General features: G+C 41.3%; 1 long non-coding RNA gene across 1 annotated transcript in view, besides 2 other annotated features; it reads left to right on the top strand.

The window, feature by feature from the left end:
* Positions 1-6,099: 6,099 nt before the first annotated feature.
* The window catches only part of LOC105370194 (uncharacterized), a 47,059-nt gene continuing 36,140 nt past the window's right edge, over positions 6,100-17,018 (top strand). Inside the window, exons 1-2 of the long non-coding RNA XR_941946.4 lie at positions 6,100-6,251; positions 10,636-10,814. This is a non-coding gene — a long non-coding RNA (uncharacterized LOC105370194). The remainder of the gene's footprint in view (positions 6,252-10,635; positions 10,815-17,018) is intronic.
* Positions 6,364-6,863: an enhancer, noted in NCBI's record as "H3K4me1 hESC enhancer chr13:46895131-46895630 (GRCh37/hg19 assembly coordinates)". NCBI's record gives its function as "activates a minimal SCP1, AML or CMV promoter by ChIP-STARR-seq in naive H9 embryonic stem cells {active_cell/tissue: H9 hESC(naive)}" and the evidence as "EXISTENCE:reporter gene assay evidence [ECO:0000049][PMID:30033119]".
* Positions 7,921-8,469: an enhancer, noted in NCBI's record as "NANOG hESC enhancer chr13:46893525-46894073 (GRCh37/hg19 assembly coordinates)". NCBI's record gives its function as "activates a minimal SCP1, AML or CMV promoter by ChIP-STARR-seq in naive H9 embryonic stem cells {active_cell/tissue: H9 hESC(naive)}" and the evidence as "EXISTENCE:reporter gene assay evidence [ECO:0000049][PMID:30033119]".

The following is a 17,018-nucleotide window of genomic DNA, read 5'->3' as shown; positions in this document are numbered from 1 at the left end:
TTTCAGCAGTATCCCAAACACCACGCTTTTTTTTTTCATTTTGCTTTTTAGAGCTTTATTGAGGTATAATTGACATATGCTAAACCACACATATTTAGCATCATTCTTTTAAACCTTTGCCTGGTTGATGACAAATTGATATGTTATTGATGTAATTCACGGTTCTTTATTTACAAATGAGATTTAACATCTTAGCATATGTTCATAGAACATTATTTTGAGTGTTGCCTGTTCTGTGGCCCATTTTTCACTTAATTTTTAGTCTTTTTCTTAAAGATTTATGATTGAAACTCAGATTTGGATTTGCCATTAAAATCAAGTTAAAGTTAAAATCTCAATTTGTTCCCCAGTGGCTTGGCCGACATCTGTGCCAGTGCCTGCCTTATCTGATGCTGTGACATCACTAAGCACCAGATAAGTAAGGGTGTAAAAAAGGAAAATGACATCAGTTGCATAGAAAGCTGCTCTTGGTCACTGGTTTATGGTGCACAGGTCTATGCAAACCAACCCCCAAAGGCCAAGGGAGCTGAGAGGCTGAAGAAAGGCTGACAAATCTAGTTTCTCAGAAGCATTTAATAGGGACTTAGGAACAGAAGCAATGTCTTGGGCAGCCGTGAGACAGTGAATCCCCTCCAAAAATCATGCTCTCCAAAAAGTATCATTTATATAACAGTCTTTTAAGGTAGAGACACATGCAGCTGATCACGTCTCAGACTTTCTTGCCAAGACTAATGACCACTGGGGAGGTTAGATGAGCATCTTTATGAGGAATTATCTACACCGCAGGTGTTGTTTAAAGATCTTGCTGAAGAACACCTTGGTCTGCAGGAGTCAAATATCTGTCATCATGGCAGTTCCACTTCAAGATGGCGTCACTCTTGCCATGCAACAGGCTGTTTTCCTAGAGTCAGTCAGGGTTCTATCAGAGAAACAGACCCAGCAGGACACACACATACACATTCATTTGTTTGTTTGTTGATTGATTGCAAGGAATTGGCTTACATGCTTGTGGGATTGACTAGCCAAATCTGAAATCTTTAGGGCAGGCCATCAGGCAGGGCAGGCTAGAACTGAGCTTAAACTGCAGTCCACAGGTGGAATTTCTTCTTCCTCAGGGAAATCCCAATTTTGCTCTTAAAGCCTTTCACTGGCCAGAGCAGGTCCACCAGACTATCCAAGATAATCTTCTTTACTTAAAGTCAGTTGATTGTGCATGTTAATCACTTCTACAGAATGCCTCCACAGAAACACTTACACTAGTGTTGGATCAAATAGCAGAGTACTACAGCCCAGCCATGGAAACACATAAAACTGACCAGCAGAGTTCTCAGTCCTCGATCATCTGAGAAAAGAAGCATGAGATTCTCAACTAAGCAGGAATCCGGGGAGGAGGGTAGGGTCAGGACCAAATGGTATGAAGATGAGAGGAGAAAATATGGTTTTCATAGCTCTTGTAGGGACAACAATTAAGTCTGCAAACCACTGGGAAAATCTTGAATTTGAGATGCTTTCTTAATCACTCATTTTCCATCCAGGTAGTGAGAAAGTACCAAGCCACTGGAAGGAGTTATACTTCCTGAAACACAGATATCTTTTATTTCTTCCTTCCATCTCTTTCTCATCTCTTCCCTCCCCACACTACTTCCTTCTTCTCTTAAAGAATGTAACCTCTTACATGGATGGTTAGTTGATCTTAGAACCAGGGTAGCACCCTAGAAAAAACAGAAGGAACCCAATGGAATCAGCTCTGTGAGGATAAATACCATCATCTTCATCAGGAATGTTCCATCATCGATCTACTGCTGGCAGTGTTTTTTCTTTTATTTTTTAAAGTATAATAAGAATTGTAATACACTTTGTATCAGATTTTAAAACTTTACATAGCATTTTTATATGCACATTTTATTATATATTTTATTTCATACACATTTCACAACAACTCTGTAAGATTAGATTTCATTATTTCCATTTTACTGTTGAGACAACTGAGGCACAGAGAGGTGCCTGCTCAATGTCATCCAGCTAAAAAGTGGAAGATGAAGAGCACACATGAAGGCGATTTATCCCTTAATTGCCTTCCTTCTACTGTGTTTCTTGTTGGAATATCCATATGCTCCATAATTTATTTTTTAGGGCCTTTAGCTTATTCAAAATAAAGCGTTCAGCTCCTTGGATGAAAAGCCTTTTACCTATTTTAACATAAGTGAATAAGGCCTGGGTCAATCCATTTTGTGTTGCTATAAAGGAATACCTGAGGCTGGGTAATTTATAAAGAAGAGAGGTTTATTTGGCTCATGGTTCTGCAGGCTGTACAAGAAGCGTGGAGCCAGCATCTGCTTCTGGTGAGGCCTCAGGAAGCTTTCTTTACGGTGGAAGGTGAAGGGGGAGGAGACATGTCACGTGGTGAGAGAGGGAGCAAGAAAGATCCCATGATCTTTGAAATAACCAGCTCTCCCATGAACTAATAGAGTGAGAACTCACTTATTACTACAGGGATGACACCAAGGTAATCATGAGGGATCCACCCCCGTGACCCAGCCACCTCCCATTAGGCCCCACCTTCAACACTGAGGATCATATTTCGACATGAGATTCGGAGGGGCCACACATACAAATCATATCCCTTGTCTATACACCACAATTTTATTGCATAAACAGGACACATTCTTCTGCTGATCAGGTATTCTAGGAAACCAACGTGTTAATCAGACAATTGCTTGCATTGTTGAAAACTGACTAGAACGAATGGAATGATATTACATTATACATCCATGGAGTTACAGAATCTTATGCAATTTTTTCTATTAGGGATATTTGTGTCTAAAATAGAGAACTGGTTATTTAGAAGCAAAGTTCTCCTCCCATAAATGGACCTGGGGTCCCACTGACAATAGTATTGGGTTTTTAGAGGTGCAAATTAGTTGTAGTCCTGCCTTCCACACTGAACATGGAAATAATTGAGAGACACATGAATCAGACGGATATTACTGATGGGGCGCATTGCTGAGCAGCCTTAATCAATCTTCAGCCTTGAATTAAACAGACCGTCTGAGTTCCAGTCTCCTGCCAGCCTCCATCTCATGGCAGAGACTGCCCAGTAAACTTTGTTGTTACTGGAGAGGGAAGCAGGCAGGCTGACATCAGAGAGAAAGCCCAGGTGGCTCACTGCAGCCATCAAGTTCCTTCTCCCAAACTCACCGGAATGACAAGTCGTTCTTCCTCCCGGGTCAGCCCCTACACATGAGTGTGGCTGTACCAGTGATGACAATACTGGAATACTTCCATGCAGCTGAGAAACAGCATCCTCTCTAGCCTCCAGCCCCTCCTTCCGACTCTCAGACCTCCCAGCGACAGCACCTGGCAGGGGCACCAAAGACCCCTTCCAGGTGGCATCTTTTCTGATTGGTGGTGACCATGCTTCACTGGTTGTTAAATGTCCTGACTGTCATATCCTAGGTGTGGAGAAAGGGGCCAGGAACATCCCCCGCCTCCTCTTTTCTATCAGGGAATCATGATTCCCTGCTTGGTATGGAAACCTGAGGTGTAGGAAAGTGTTTCCCCCAAATAATGTTACTTTCCAGCACTCCTTTTCCAAAATTCAACAATCAATCATTAAAAGCCTTTATTTATGTAGCAGTGGCTCATTATAGAAATGATTGTACATTATAGAAATATTGTTTAGTTACAGCTTTTAGTAATCAAACTGCTATCTCTGAAAACAGTTCTCCTTCAGAGACCTGGAGGAGACGCCCGGTCTTAAGAGCTGTATGTTATCTAGGCCAGGCACAGTGGCTCATGCCTGTAATCCTAGCACTTTGGGAGGCCAAGGCAGATGAATCACCTGAGGTCAGGAGTTCAAGACCAGCGTGGCCCACATGGCAAAACCCCGTCTCTACTAAAAATACAAAAATTAGCAGGGCGTGGTGGTGCACGCCGGTAATCCCAGCTACTCGGGAGGCTGAAGAAGGAGAATCACTTGAACCCGGGAGGCGGAGGTTGCAGTGAGCCAAAATCGCACCACCGCACTCCAGCCTGCGCGATGGGAGCAAGACTCCATCGAAAAAAAAAAAAAAAAAGAGTTGTGTGTTATCTCCTGGAAGTGAAAGTTCAGGGGAAAGTTTCCATAGTTGCTCTTACTCCTGTCCATTAGTTGGGTTGATTCTCCTTATCTCAATCAGAATCCTTCCTGAACCTGCCCCAAGATATGGGATGAGCCATCACTTGGGCCAGCAACCCAGTGAAGACACCACAAGTCCTTGATTCTCTCTCCCGGTCCAGACTGAGAAGTTGCTGGAAATCAATTATTTTAGCTCAGCATAATGCAGACCATGGTAATATTCATCAGCTTAACCTGTCTTCTATACATTCTTGCATGTTTTCTTCCTACTTTTTGAGCTTCAAAGTTCTGCCTGTGCTGCAATGAGATACCACTGTACACCCTCTCAAAGGTCCCCAACTTAAAAGACTGATGATACCAAATGCTGGCGAGGATCTGGAGCAATAGGAACTCATGCATCGCTGGTGGAAATATGAAATGGCACAAACACTTTGGGAAACAGTTGGTCATACACTCACCATATGACCTAGAAATTCCACTCCTGCATATTTATCCAAAAGAACTGGAAAAAAAACCCCAAAGTCCATTAACAGAATGAATAAACCAATCTTGTTATATTCATACAATAGGATACTACTGGAAATAAAAAGAACAAACTGCTGATAAATCCAAAAGCCAGAAGCAAAAAAGAACATGCTGTATGAATCCATCTACATGAAATTCTATAATAGGCAAATCAATAGTGAAAGAAATCACATCTTGTTGTAATCACACTCTAAACCGTAAAATTGGATACTCTAATTATATACAATTTATTCCCCCACAAATCTTCATGATGTCCATGTGGATTTCCAAGTGACTTTTTTTCAGAAACCACACACAGAACTTTAAAATCAACTGTATTGAAGTATAACTTGTATAGAATAAAATATAACCATTTTAAGTGTATTGTCTGATGAAGTTTTGACAAAGATATACATCCATGTGTACTCCCCAGTTAAGATATAGAACATTTAGTTGTTTTTTTTTTTTTTTTTTTTTTTTTTTGCGACAGTCTCACTCTGTTACCCAGAGTGGAGTGCAGTGGCGAGATCTTGGCTCACTGCAACCTCCACCTCCCAGGTTGAAGCAATTCTTGTGCCTGAGCCTCCCGAGTAGCTGGGATTACAGTCGCCTGCCACCATGCCCGGCTAATTTTTGTATTTTTAGTAGAGATGGGGTTTTGCCATGTTGGCCAGACTGGTCACGAACTCCTGACCTCAAGTGATCCGCCTGCCTCGGCCTCCCAAAGTGCTGGGATTACAGGTGTGAGCCACCGCGCCTGGCAATATAGAACATTTCTGTCATCTAGCAAACAAAGTCCTAACTGGAACCCCAGAGGATCTCGTTAAAGAAGCAGGACTAAACTAAGTTAGGCTGTGGGTTCCATCCATAGTGCCCTCTTTCTACACACACACAGTTGCCCCGACAGTTACCCACACCCTGCATCCCTAATTTCTACCCACAAACGGCTGGGTACAGTGGCTCACGCCTGTAATCCCAGCACTTTAGGAGGCCGAGGCGGGCAGATCACCTGAGGTCAGGAGTTCGAGACCAGTCTGGCCAACATGGTGAAAGCCAGTCTGTACTAAAAATACAAAAAAGCCGGGTGTGGTGGCAGGCTCCTGTAATCTCAGCTACTCGGGAGGCTGAGGCAAGAGAATCGCTTGAACCCGGGAGGTGGAGGTTGCAGTGAGCGGAAATCGCACCACTGTGCTTCAGCCAGGGTAACAGAGTGAGACTCCATCTTGGGGGGAAGAAAAAGAAAAAGTAGTAGTAACCACACCACGTATTGCATAGGGGTGTTGTGAGGGTTAAATTAGGTAACGTGTGTGATATTTGTAGATCAGCACCTAACACTTCGTAAGCCCTCAATTAAACATTAATCATTATCTGAGTGTTGCTACAATTTTGTAATTTCAAGGTACTGTGGGTCTCAGATCTGCCCACGAGAGGGCACTGGTGACACAGCTTTGCCTCAAAAGGTTTCCAGTTGAAAGACCAGGCAGCTTTGCTTGTGTCTAAGGAACTAAGGGTCCGATTTCTCATGAGCTGCTGAACCACAGATTTTAGAGCTGAAAGACACCCTGCAAGTGATCTAATCCAGTCATCAGATGTTGCAGTTATAAGCCATAGGCGGGTAAATGTGGACCTGGTGAGTACGACTTACAAAACCAACAGTCACAGGAAAAGCAACTTCACATGCGTTCTCTGTGGAGTTGAAAGGTAGGACAGAAACGCCATCTTTCTGGGAATAAAAACGCACCAAAAGTGTTAACAGCGTGCCAGGCTGAAATGAAAAGAAGGCACTGAGGTGTATATATGTGTGTATCTGTGTGTGTGTGTGTGAGAAAACCAGAGAGAGAAGAGAGAGGTCATGTAGATTTTTTTTTTAGATGAAAACAACGGATACTGGTTCTTTCTTCTAGATCAGCTCAGGAGACCAAAATATTCAAGATTTTCTTTGACAGGCTGAGCCTGAGAATGTCTTCCACACCCTTTCTCTGCTAAGGGGGAACTGTCCTACTTGCAGCCCCTGCAACTCAGCAGCCTGTTGGGTCCCTTCCCCTCCTCTCCAACCACACCTGACCCCAGGGGTCCCAGGCCTTAAGCTGGCCTGGGACATTCATCTCATCACCTGGTGTGAAAGATGCGTTGGGCCAGTCAGATCCTTGCTTTTCAAGATCTAAAGGATCAGAAGACAGGGTGGCGAGCAGCAGGAGCACAGAGTAAAACTTCAAGGAGCAGAAAGGCCCCAGGGTGACCTGGTGGCCTCACACAGGCCAGCGCATGAGGTAGCTGGCCTAGCTGTTGGAGCCATAGAGGAGAATAAGCCCACTGCAAGAAGCAGAAGGGCTGCTAGCCGAGAGGAGACTGGATGCCCCTGGAAGAACTGAAGGAGGTAGCAGGGTGCCTAGTGCATACCTCATTCCCCTTTTTGAAGCAAGTTGTTTGGGTCTCTAGTTCCCCACAACTAAATTCTGTAGAGAAAATTTTGAAAGTGTGATCAGATTGGAAACCACGTGGCAAAGGCAACACTGCGTTTATGTACAGACATCTCATTGTAAGAGAGCCTGCAGGGGTGTGTGTGGAGAGGGAAGAGAACAGGAGATGCTGCTGCTGCTCCTCCTCCTCCTTCCCCTCTTCATTGTCCTTTTTCTCTTCCTTTTCCCTCCTTCTCTTCCTCCTCTTCCTTGTCTTCTTTCCCCTCCTCCTCCCTTCTTGTCTTTTTCTTCCTCCTTCTCCGCCTCCTCTTCCTCTCCCTCCCCCTCTTCTTTCTTGTCTTCCTCCTCCTCCTGTTTCTTGTCTTTTTCCTTCTCTTCCTCTTTCTTATCTCCTTCCTTCCTCCTCCTTTTTCTTTTTTTTTTTTTTTTTTGTTTTGAGACGGAGTCTTGCTCTGTCGCCCAGGCTGGAGTGCAGTGGCCCCATCTGGTCTCACTACAAGCTCCGCCTCCCGGGTTCACGCCATTCTCCTGCCTCAGCCTCCCGAGTAGCTGGGACTACAGGCGCCCGCCACCACGCCCTGCAAATTTTTTTTTTTTTTTTTTTTTTTTTTTGTAGAGACGGGGTTTCACCATGGTAGCCAGGATGGTCTTCATCTCCTGACCTCGTGATCCGCCCGCCTTGGCCTCCCAAAGTGCTGGGATTATAGGCGTGAGCCACTGTCCCGGCCTCTTCCTCCTTTTTCTTCTGCTTCCCCTCTTCTTCCTTAGCTCTAAGAGGAATTAGAAAAAACTTTTTACTTTAAAATCATTTCATAATTAGAGAAAGTTGCAAAAGTAGTACAGAAAATTCCCATACCCTTTTGCTTAGATTCCCCAAATGTTGACATTTCTATGATTAAGGAAATTGTGACATATTTGTGCAATGCAATACAAACCGTAATTAGCCACATTAGCTAATACAAACCCTAATGAGCATATGGCTAATTAGCATAAGGCTAATTAGGGTTTGTATTCTATTGTACAAATTTTAACATTTGACAAATGTTAAAAACAAACTTGAGCAAAAGAGTCAAATCATGGAAGACGTTCATTAGTGATCACTTAACATAAATTTCACAGACAAAGCCAAGCATTACGTTGTTTACACTAGAGATCTACCCATAGGTGGTAGAAACGTTTTTTGTTTTTGTTTTTCAAAGCAAGTGAATGATGAACATAATGCAACATAGTGGTTGTCACAGATGGAGGGTGGGAGACAGGATCAGGGAGAGGTACTCCAGACCTTTGAAGGTACTGCTGATATTCTTTATTATTGACTGATTTGTTTTTAATTTAAAAAATACACATAATAGTATATATTTTGGGGGCACATAATGATGCGATACATGTAATATATAGTGATCAGATCAGGGTTAATAAGCATATCCATCATCTCAAACATTTATTATTTCTTTGTGTTGGGAACATTTAATATCATCCTAGCTATGTGAAACAATATTGTTAACTACAGTGATTCTACAATGGTATAGAACACTAGAGCTTGTTCTTCCTGTATAGCTGTAGTTTTGCATCCTTTAACAAATCTCTTCCCATCACTCCCTTATCTCTACTTCTCCCAGCTATTAGTATTCTCTGTTCTGCTTTCTACTTCTGTAAGATCAACATTTTAAGCTTCCACACATGAGTGAGAACATGTGGTATTTAACTTTCTGTTTCTGGCTTATTTCACTTAATATAATGTCCCCCAGTTCCACCTATGTTGCCACAAATGACAGGATTTCATCCTTTTTATGGCTGAATAGTATTCCATTACGTATATGTGCCATATTTTCTTTATCTGCTGTTGTACACCTGATTGATTCCATATCTTGGCTGTTGTGAAAAGTGCTGTAATAAACATGGAAGTGCACATGTCTCATCAATATACTGATTTCCTTTCCTTTGAATAAATACCCAGTAGTGAGACTGCTGGATCATATGGTGGTTCTGTTTGTAGTTTTTTGAGGAACCTCTACACTGTTCTCCACAGTGGTTGGACTAGTTTACACTCCCACCAACAGTGTATATGAGTTCCATTTTCACCTCATCCTCAACAGCATTTGTTATTTTCTGTCTTTTTAATAATAGTTATCCTAACTGGGGTGAGATGATGCTTCACTGTGAGTTTGATATGCATTTCCCTCATCAGGGAAATTAGTGATGTTAAACATTTTTTCATATATTTGTTGGCCATTTGTATGCCTTTTGAGCAAATGTCTGTTGAGATCATTTACTCATTTATTAATTGAATTGTTTAGTTGAATTAGATGAATTTTTGCTGTTCAGATGTTTGAGTTACTTGTATCTTCTGGATATTAACCCCTGTCGATGAATAGTTTGCAAATATTATATCCCATTCTGTAGACTGTCTCTTCACTCTGTTGATTGTTTCCTTTTCTATGCAGAAGCTTTTTAGTGTAACATAATCTCTGGTGTTTATTCTTGCTTTTGTTGCCTGTGCTTTTGAGATCTTATTCATATAATCTTTTCCCAGATCAATGTCCTGAAGTGGTTCCCCATTGTTTATTCTAGTAGTTTTATAGTTTCAGGTCTTCCATTTAGGTCTTTGATCCATTTTGAGTTGATATTTATATAGGGTGATAGGTAGGATTCTAGTTTTTCTTCTGCATGTGGATATTCTGTTTTCCCAGAACAATTTGTTGAAGAGACTGTCCTTTCCTTAGTCAATGTTCTTGGTACTTTTGTCAAAAATCCACTGGCTGTAGATACATGGATTGATTTCCAGGTTCTTTATTCTATTCCATTGGTCTATGTGTCTGTTGTTACACCAGTACTATGTTGTTTTGTTGCTACAGCTTAGTAGCATAGTTTGAAATCTGGTAGTATGATGTCTCCAGCTTTGTTCATTTTGTTCAGGATTGCTTTGGTTATTCAGAGTCTTTTGTGGTTCCATACAAATTTTAGAATTTTTTTCTCTATTTCTGTAAAGAATGTCATTGATATTTTGATAGGGATTGCATTGAATCTTTAAATTGCTTTGGGTAGTACAAATGTTCACATTCGTGTGAACTTCTCTATGTGTGTGTATGTGTGTGTGTGCATATTTGTACTTCTGAGATGTGTGAGTCTAGGATGCAGAAATGAAGTTTCTTTACCTCCAAATATTTTTATATTTCAATGGGTATTTCTGAAAGATAAGGATATTCTTTTACACAGTGAGACTTCAGTGATCAAAATCAGAAAATTAACATTGATATGATAGTATTATGTTTTTAAAAATATATACATTATTCAAAATTTGCCACTTGTGTTCTAATTCAAAATTTGCCACTTCTAATTCAAAATCACACATTGCATTTTTTGTCATAACCCTTTAATCTCCTTTAATGTGGGTCAAATCCTTGATTTTTCTTTCTTTCATGATTCTGAGAGATGAGTTATTTTGTAGTAGATCCTTCAATCTGGGTTTTCCTGATGTTTCCTCATGGTGGCAATCATGTTATATTCTTGGAAGGAACCTCATAGAAGTGAGGCTGTATCCTTTTATGCACAGGGAGACACAGCTTCTTAAATTCTCTCATCTTTCTCCTGCAGGGAAAATGCAGACCAACACCTTGCTGGAGTGCAAAGAGCCCCTAGCCAATTCCTAGGCCTTTGAGAAAACCTGGAAAAATTAACACTTGAAATAAATTTTGAAGAACAAGGAAAAGTTATTGACCTAAAGGCTGACAGGGAGGAATTCTGGAAGGAAGGAACAGCTCACTTGCTTGGAGGTGAGAACATGTGTTGTGTTGGGAACATAGTGGTCTTGTGTGTGGCCTTTGCAGGTACCTGGACACATCATACTCTCTCACATTCTTGGCTCTGCTCATTCCTGGGCTCCCTCTGCCTGGTACCACTTCCTCCACCTCTTACCTTCTCTTCCTTTTTCTGGATAATTTTACTCAGCCTTTAGAACTCAGTGGAAGTATTTTCCTCCTCTTGTTGCCAGTGAATGGTGAAGATCACATGTTTGGAGTCCAGTGGGCCTACGTTCAAATCCTGCTCCTGCCATTTTGGCAAGTGAATGATCTTGGGCAAATTATTTAACCTCTTTGAGACCCAGTTCCCTTTTTGGACAAATGAGAGGTTATATCTGATGGATATATAATGTTTATGTCCCCTGAAAATTCATATGTTATACCCACAAGGCAATGGTCACAAGCCAATTCCCAGGAAGTGAAGTCATTGGTAGGTGATTATGAGATGAGTGTGCTTTTAATGGAAGTTCTAGAGAGCTGCCTTGCCCATTTATATCACCATGTGAGGACACAGCTAGAAAGCAACATGTTTGAGCCAGGAAATGGGCCCTCACCCAACATGGAATCTGCCAGTGCCTTGATCTTGGACTTCCAAGCCTCCAGAACTGTGAGAAATAAATGTTTCTTGCTTATAAGTCACCCCATCTATGGTATTTATTATAGCAGCCCAAACAGACTAAGACACCCTCTGCTTATCACAGGCATGGTTAGTCTAAACAGGTACCTCCTTCTCAGGACCTGTGACCCCTCAAGGGGTCCCCTTGTATTCTAAGAGTTTCTGGGCCTGACTTCTCCTGCTTTTATCTTCTTCTAGGTTTCTACACCTGTGTGTGCCATCATGCTTTGGCCCTGTATCAGATACAGGCATGAGGCTCATCTCTGTCACCATTCCCAAAAAAGGAATATAAACATACCATTTGTGAGTTTAGGAAGCTCACTGCCGATGTGAAATCCCATGAGAAGAGACCACGTGGCCCACTGCCTAGCCTCCTGCCCACCTGGGGCCAGTGTGTTTGTCCCCTCACACAATGCTGCCTCTTGAAGTTTATGCATGCTACCATTCAGGCTTACTTACCTATCTGAACTCCCATTCATTCGTGGAAGCTGAAGACTAGGAGTCAGAGTTGGATCAGGTGGCAGGTGTGGTAGGTGGTGGGAAAGGTGGCTCTGTGGTCAACCAACGTGACTGCTGTACAAGCAACTTGTTAGGCTTGTCCAGACCCTTCACCCATGTGGGTGACTGCCCCCACCCTGCCTTCTACTTTCTTAACCTCCTTGCCTATAGTATTTTGTTTTTCCACATACCTCATCCATGCACTCCTGAAATCACACACTCCTGAAATCGTGACATTGTCATTACCAATCATTGCATCACCTCTGAAACCTCAGCTCCAAACCTCTCACCATCTGAGCACCATCCTATTACCTCCAGCCCATTCACTCTTCTCGCCTCACTCAGGCGATTTGACATTTTTGAGTCCTTGATATCTTGAAACTTGTGTTCTCTCACCATCAATAGCCCTATGTACTTCAGCCACTCCAACCTCATTTTTCTCTACCCTGCCCTGCTTACTTTGTTCCAGCCATGCTGGCCTCTCTCCTATCCTGGGAGGCATCCAGCTTGTCCCATTTTATGGCCTTCATACTTGATGTCTCCTCTGCCCAGAATGTTCTCCTTGCATTGTTTTGGTCTTGGTTAAAAACACTTTTAAACATCTAGTTAATAATTAATCCATACATTAATTAATGAATTATTGATCCATAATTATAATAATAAAATAATTTATATTCTTATTTATAATAATATAAGTTAATTATATTATTATATGTAAAGACAAAATAATTAAAATAATTTATAGTAAATATGTTTACAATTAATGGATTAATTATTAATCCATTAATTTATGAACTAATGCTATATTTATAAAATGCACATCATGTTTACAGAATGACAACATATCTTACATTCATGGACCTGCTAACCATTTCAATCATTTACCATAAAATCTGTGAATTCCTTCCTGATCTCAGCCCCTCTCCTACTTAGTCTGAGATAAACACTAGCCTAAATTTTGTGTTGAGATCCTCTTGCTTTTCATTATAGTTTTCCTACATCTGTTTCTATCTCTAAGCAATATGTTGTTTGGATTGAATGTTAGTGGAATCACAATACTTCTGCCACTTGCTTTTTCACTTTGCTTTATGTTCCTAAGATTCATCATGTTGGTGTGTAAAGCTGTAATTCATCCATTTTCACAGCTGTGTAGTATTTCATTACATCAAAATACCAAAATACAATTATCTGTTCTACTGTTGATGGACATTTGAAGTTTCCCAGCTTTTTGCTATTACAATAAACTAAACTTTCTGAAACATATCTCCTAATACACATGTGCAAGATTGATTCTATATAACTAGGTATAGACTTGCGGGTTCTAGGATATAAGCATATTCCTTTTTTTAAGTAACATGAAATTGATTTCAAAGTGGTTATACCAATTTACAGTCTTATTATCAGTGAAGGAGCATTCCTATTGCCCTCTACCCTTGTCAATATTTGGTATCACTTAACTTTTCAAGTCTTGTCAGTCTGGTAGGTGTAAATGATATCTTGTGGCAGTCTCACTCGCATTTTGCTGATTATTTATCATGACTTCCGCAGGGCTGGCTTCTTCTTGTCATTCAAATTTGAGCTTAAACATCTGGAGCCACCTTGTTCTTCTTAACTATATCAACCTATTTTAATTCCCACTATCTGATATTCCTTCCTTCCTCTCTTTTTCAAAAAATGTTTGTTGGTCTATTTTAGTTTCTCCTCTACAAAGCTTGTACATAGTGGCTGCTCAATAGATACTTACTGAATATTTATTAAATAAATAAATGTGCTAACTTTAGTTCTGTTCAGATCAATATTTGCTTTCTTCCTGCTTGGTATATGTTCTGTCTTCCATCTTGCTTTCAGTTTCATCTTATACTTTCTCCATTGTCTTTCACTCTCCATTAATGTCTACTTTTGTGTTTATTCTCATTCTTGCTAACTTCTTTCCTCCTGGAGAGTTCTCTCTCTTGCCTCCATGCTTGCTGCCAGACTTGAAACTTCAGGAGAGCTTACTTGTATTTTTCAAAGTCAGCTTTTCAATTTAATAACCCCTGTACCCAGCTTCCTCCCTGCTGCTTGACACCCCTGGGCCTTGGTCAGTGAGAAGCAGCCTGACTCTAGAAGACACGGGAGACAAGAGCCGACAAAAATCATCGATCATTCAAATAGTCTTCCAAGGATCCTAAAAGAAAGAGCCATGAGGGTCCCTACCTTTTGTTAGAGGTGCTAAACTCTAGAAGCAAAAGGACATCTTGTCTAGAGCTCATTTCAACGTAGCCTTCCCTCACATTTCCTGTCAAATTTCACAACTTTGATATTGCAATAGCAGAAAATTGGGGTAAATATGTGTGGAAGATAGAACCACATATCACCCAATAAAGTTTTAAAGATGAATGAGGCAAAAATATTACTATCTTCTGAAACAGTGAAAATCTTTTTTGTGATACCTTTTATGAAATACGATCTCGCATTACTTCTATATTTGAAATTATGTAAGACAAAAGTTCCATTTTCATCATATATATAAATATTTTTTTAAAAAAGATTGTTGTATGCTGCATAACCATGGCAAACTAAATGTGCTTTCACCCACCCTCCTAGAACCTTAATAAAATATCTATAAAGGAAGTAAAAAAAATACAGAAGTCCAAGAGGACAAAGTGGATTGAATATGAAACAGCATCTGGTGAGAAAAATTTCAACAAAAAATCTGGTTGATGGAAGATTTGTAACAATGTTGGCGTCTACAGAGGGGAAGTTTGATGAGAAATGAGTGATTCCTCTTCAGAGGCACAAAAAGGCTTAACACAGGTGTGAGGTGCCATGAGGCAAAGGTGGGAATGGGGCATTTTCTGGAAGGCTGTATGTGGAGTGATTAGACAACCTCCCCTCTCCTCATGAAGCTAGGCAAGTGCCCTCCCAGAGCCCAGCTAGAGTGCAGTGGTGCAATCTTGGCTCACTGCAACCTCTACCTCCCAGGTTCAAGCGATTCTCCTGCCTCAGCCCCCTGAGTAGCTAGGACTATAGGTGCCCACCACCATGCCTCGCTAATGTTTTTTTTGTTGTTGTTGTTTTGTTTTTTTGTTTTTTTTTTGTTTGTTTTTGAGACAGAGTCTCACTCTGTCACCTAGGCCGGAGTGCAGTGGTGTGATCTCAGCTCACCACAACCTCCACCTCCTGGATTCAAGTGATTCTCCTGCCTCAGCCTCCTGAGTAGCTGTGATTACAGGTGCCCACCACCAGGCCCGGCTACTTTTGTATTTTTAGTAGAGATGGGGTTTCTCCATGTTGGCCAGGCTAGTCTAGAACTCCTGACCTCAAGTGATCCACCCGCCTCGGCCTCCCAAAGTGCTGGGATTACAGGCATGAGCCAGGGCACCTGGCTAATTTTTGTATTTTTAGCAGGGATGAGGTTTCACCATGTTGTTCAGGCTGGTCTGAAGTCCTGACCTCAAGTGATCTGCCTGCCTCAGCCTCCCCTGCTTGGGGCTACAAGCAGGAGCCATGGCGCCTGGCCTGGAGGTTTATTCTCTATGGAAACTGAACTTGAGAAGTTCAGGAGAATAATGATGAATGTGAGTGAGAATAGATGGGTAGAAGTTGAAAACAAGGAAATTAACTTGAAATCTGCACATTGAATAGTAGACTCTCAATACCCTCCCACAACGCTCTGCTTTAAGGAAGCTAGCAGTCAGGCTTACAATTCTCCCCATCCCTGGGGAGATTGGAAGCATCTTCTCTGGACTATGTGAATGAATCTAGAGAAAACATCTCAGGCACCAACATTTGCAGGACCCTTTGGCAATGAAGAAGTTGATGTACCGACTGATCTCCCTTTGGTGGGCCCTACAACTTATGCACAAGCTGACCCTGCAATTCGCTTCATGCTTGAATATGAATAATAGGCAAGACTGCCAGACATTTGTAGGTAGCTTTCAAAATGAAAGAGCACTAGAAAAAAAAAGTACAGAAAAAAATGGAACATGAAGAAAAAATACCAGGCTGAAAACAGAAAAAAAAATTAATTTTAATATTCTGTGGTGGGGGGAGTGAGGGTGTGTCTATTAAGGGATAGCATGAGGGAGATCTTTGTGGTGATGACACAGCCAGGTGGGAAGGGGTCCCCAAAGCAATCCCAACTGATCAGTGCACTGGAGTTCCGCCGTTTGCATCAGGGAGGAGCTTGGCCCCTCCTCTTCCTGGGTGGAACCTGGAATTCAATCTGTGACGCAGGAAGCACACTAGCAGGGACTCTAGATTTGTGGAGAGGCCCTGTTTCCCTTTTTTCCTTTTTGCCCAATGAATTCCATTATTCTCACCCTTCAAATTGTCTGTAAGCCTAATTTTTCATGGCCATGTGACAGGGACCTCGTCTTTAGCTGAACTAAGGAGAGAGTCCTACAACAGTGATGTGACATAGAACTATACATGTGCATTGCCCCAATGTCAATTTCCTGATTTTGATATTGCATTATAAGTATGTAAGATGTAACCATTGTGGGAAACTGGGTGAAGGGTACTTGCAGCCTCCCTGTACTATCTTTGTAAATTTGAATCTATAATTATTTAAAGACAAAAAGCTAAAACAATAAATACCCTCAGTACATTAAGATATTGCATCTAGAATAAGAACGGCTGTTGGATGTGGTTTGCTAATACTTTGTTGAGGATTTTTGTATCTATGTTCATCAGGGATATTGGTCTGTAGCTTTCTTTTTTGTTGTGTCTTTGTCAGATTTTGGTATCAGAGTGATGCTGGCTTTGTATAATGAGTTTGGGAGGAGTCTCTCTTCTTCCATTTTTTGGAATCGTTTCAGTAGGTTTGGTACCAGCTGTTTTTTGTATGTCTGGTACAATTCAGCTGTGAATCCAACTGGTCCAGGGCTCTTTTTGGTTCGTAGGTTTTTTATTAACTGATTCAATTTCAGAACTCAATATTCGTCTGTTCTGGTTTTGGTTTCTTCCTGCCTCAGTCTTGGAAGGTTGTGTGTTTATAGAAGTCTATTTCTTCTAGATTTTCTAGTTTGTGTACATAGAGATGTTCATAATAGTCTCTGAAGAGCCTTTGTATTTCTATG

Source organism: Homo sapiens, chromosome 13, assembly GCF_000001405.40.
Source record: "Homo sapiens chromosome 13, GRCh38.p14 Primary Assembly".
Taxonomy (NCBI): Eukaryota; Metazoa; Chordata; class Mammalia; order Primates; family Hominidae; genus Homo; species Homo sapiens.
The sequence above is the reverse complement of the archived record's forward strand: the minus strand, read 5'-3'. Positions and strand labels throughout refer to the sequence as shown.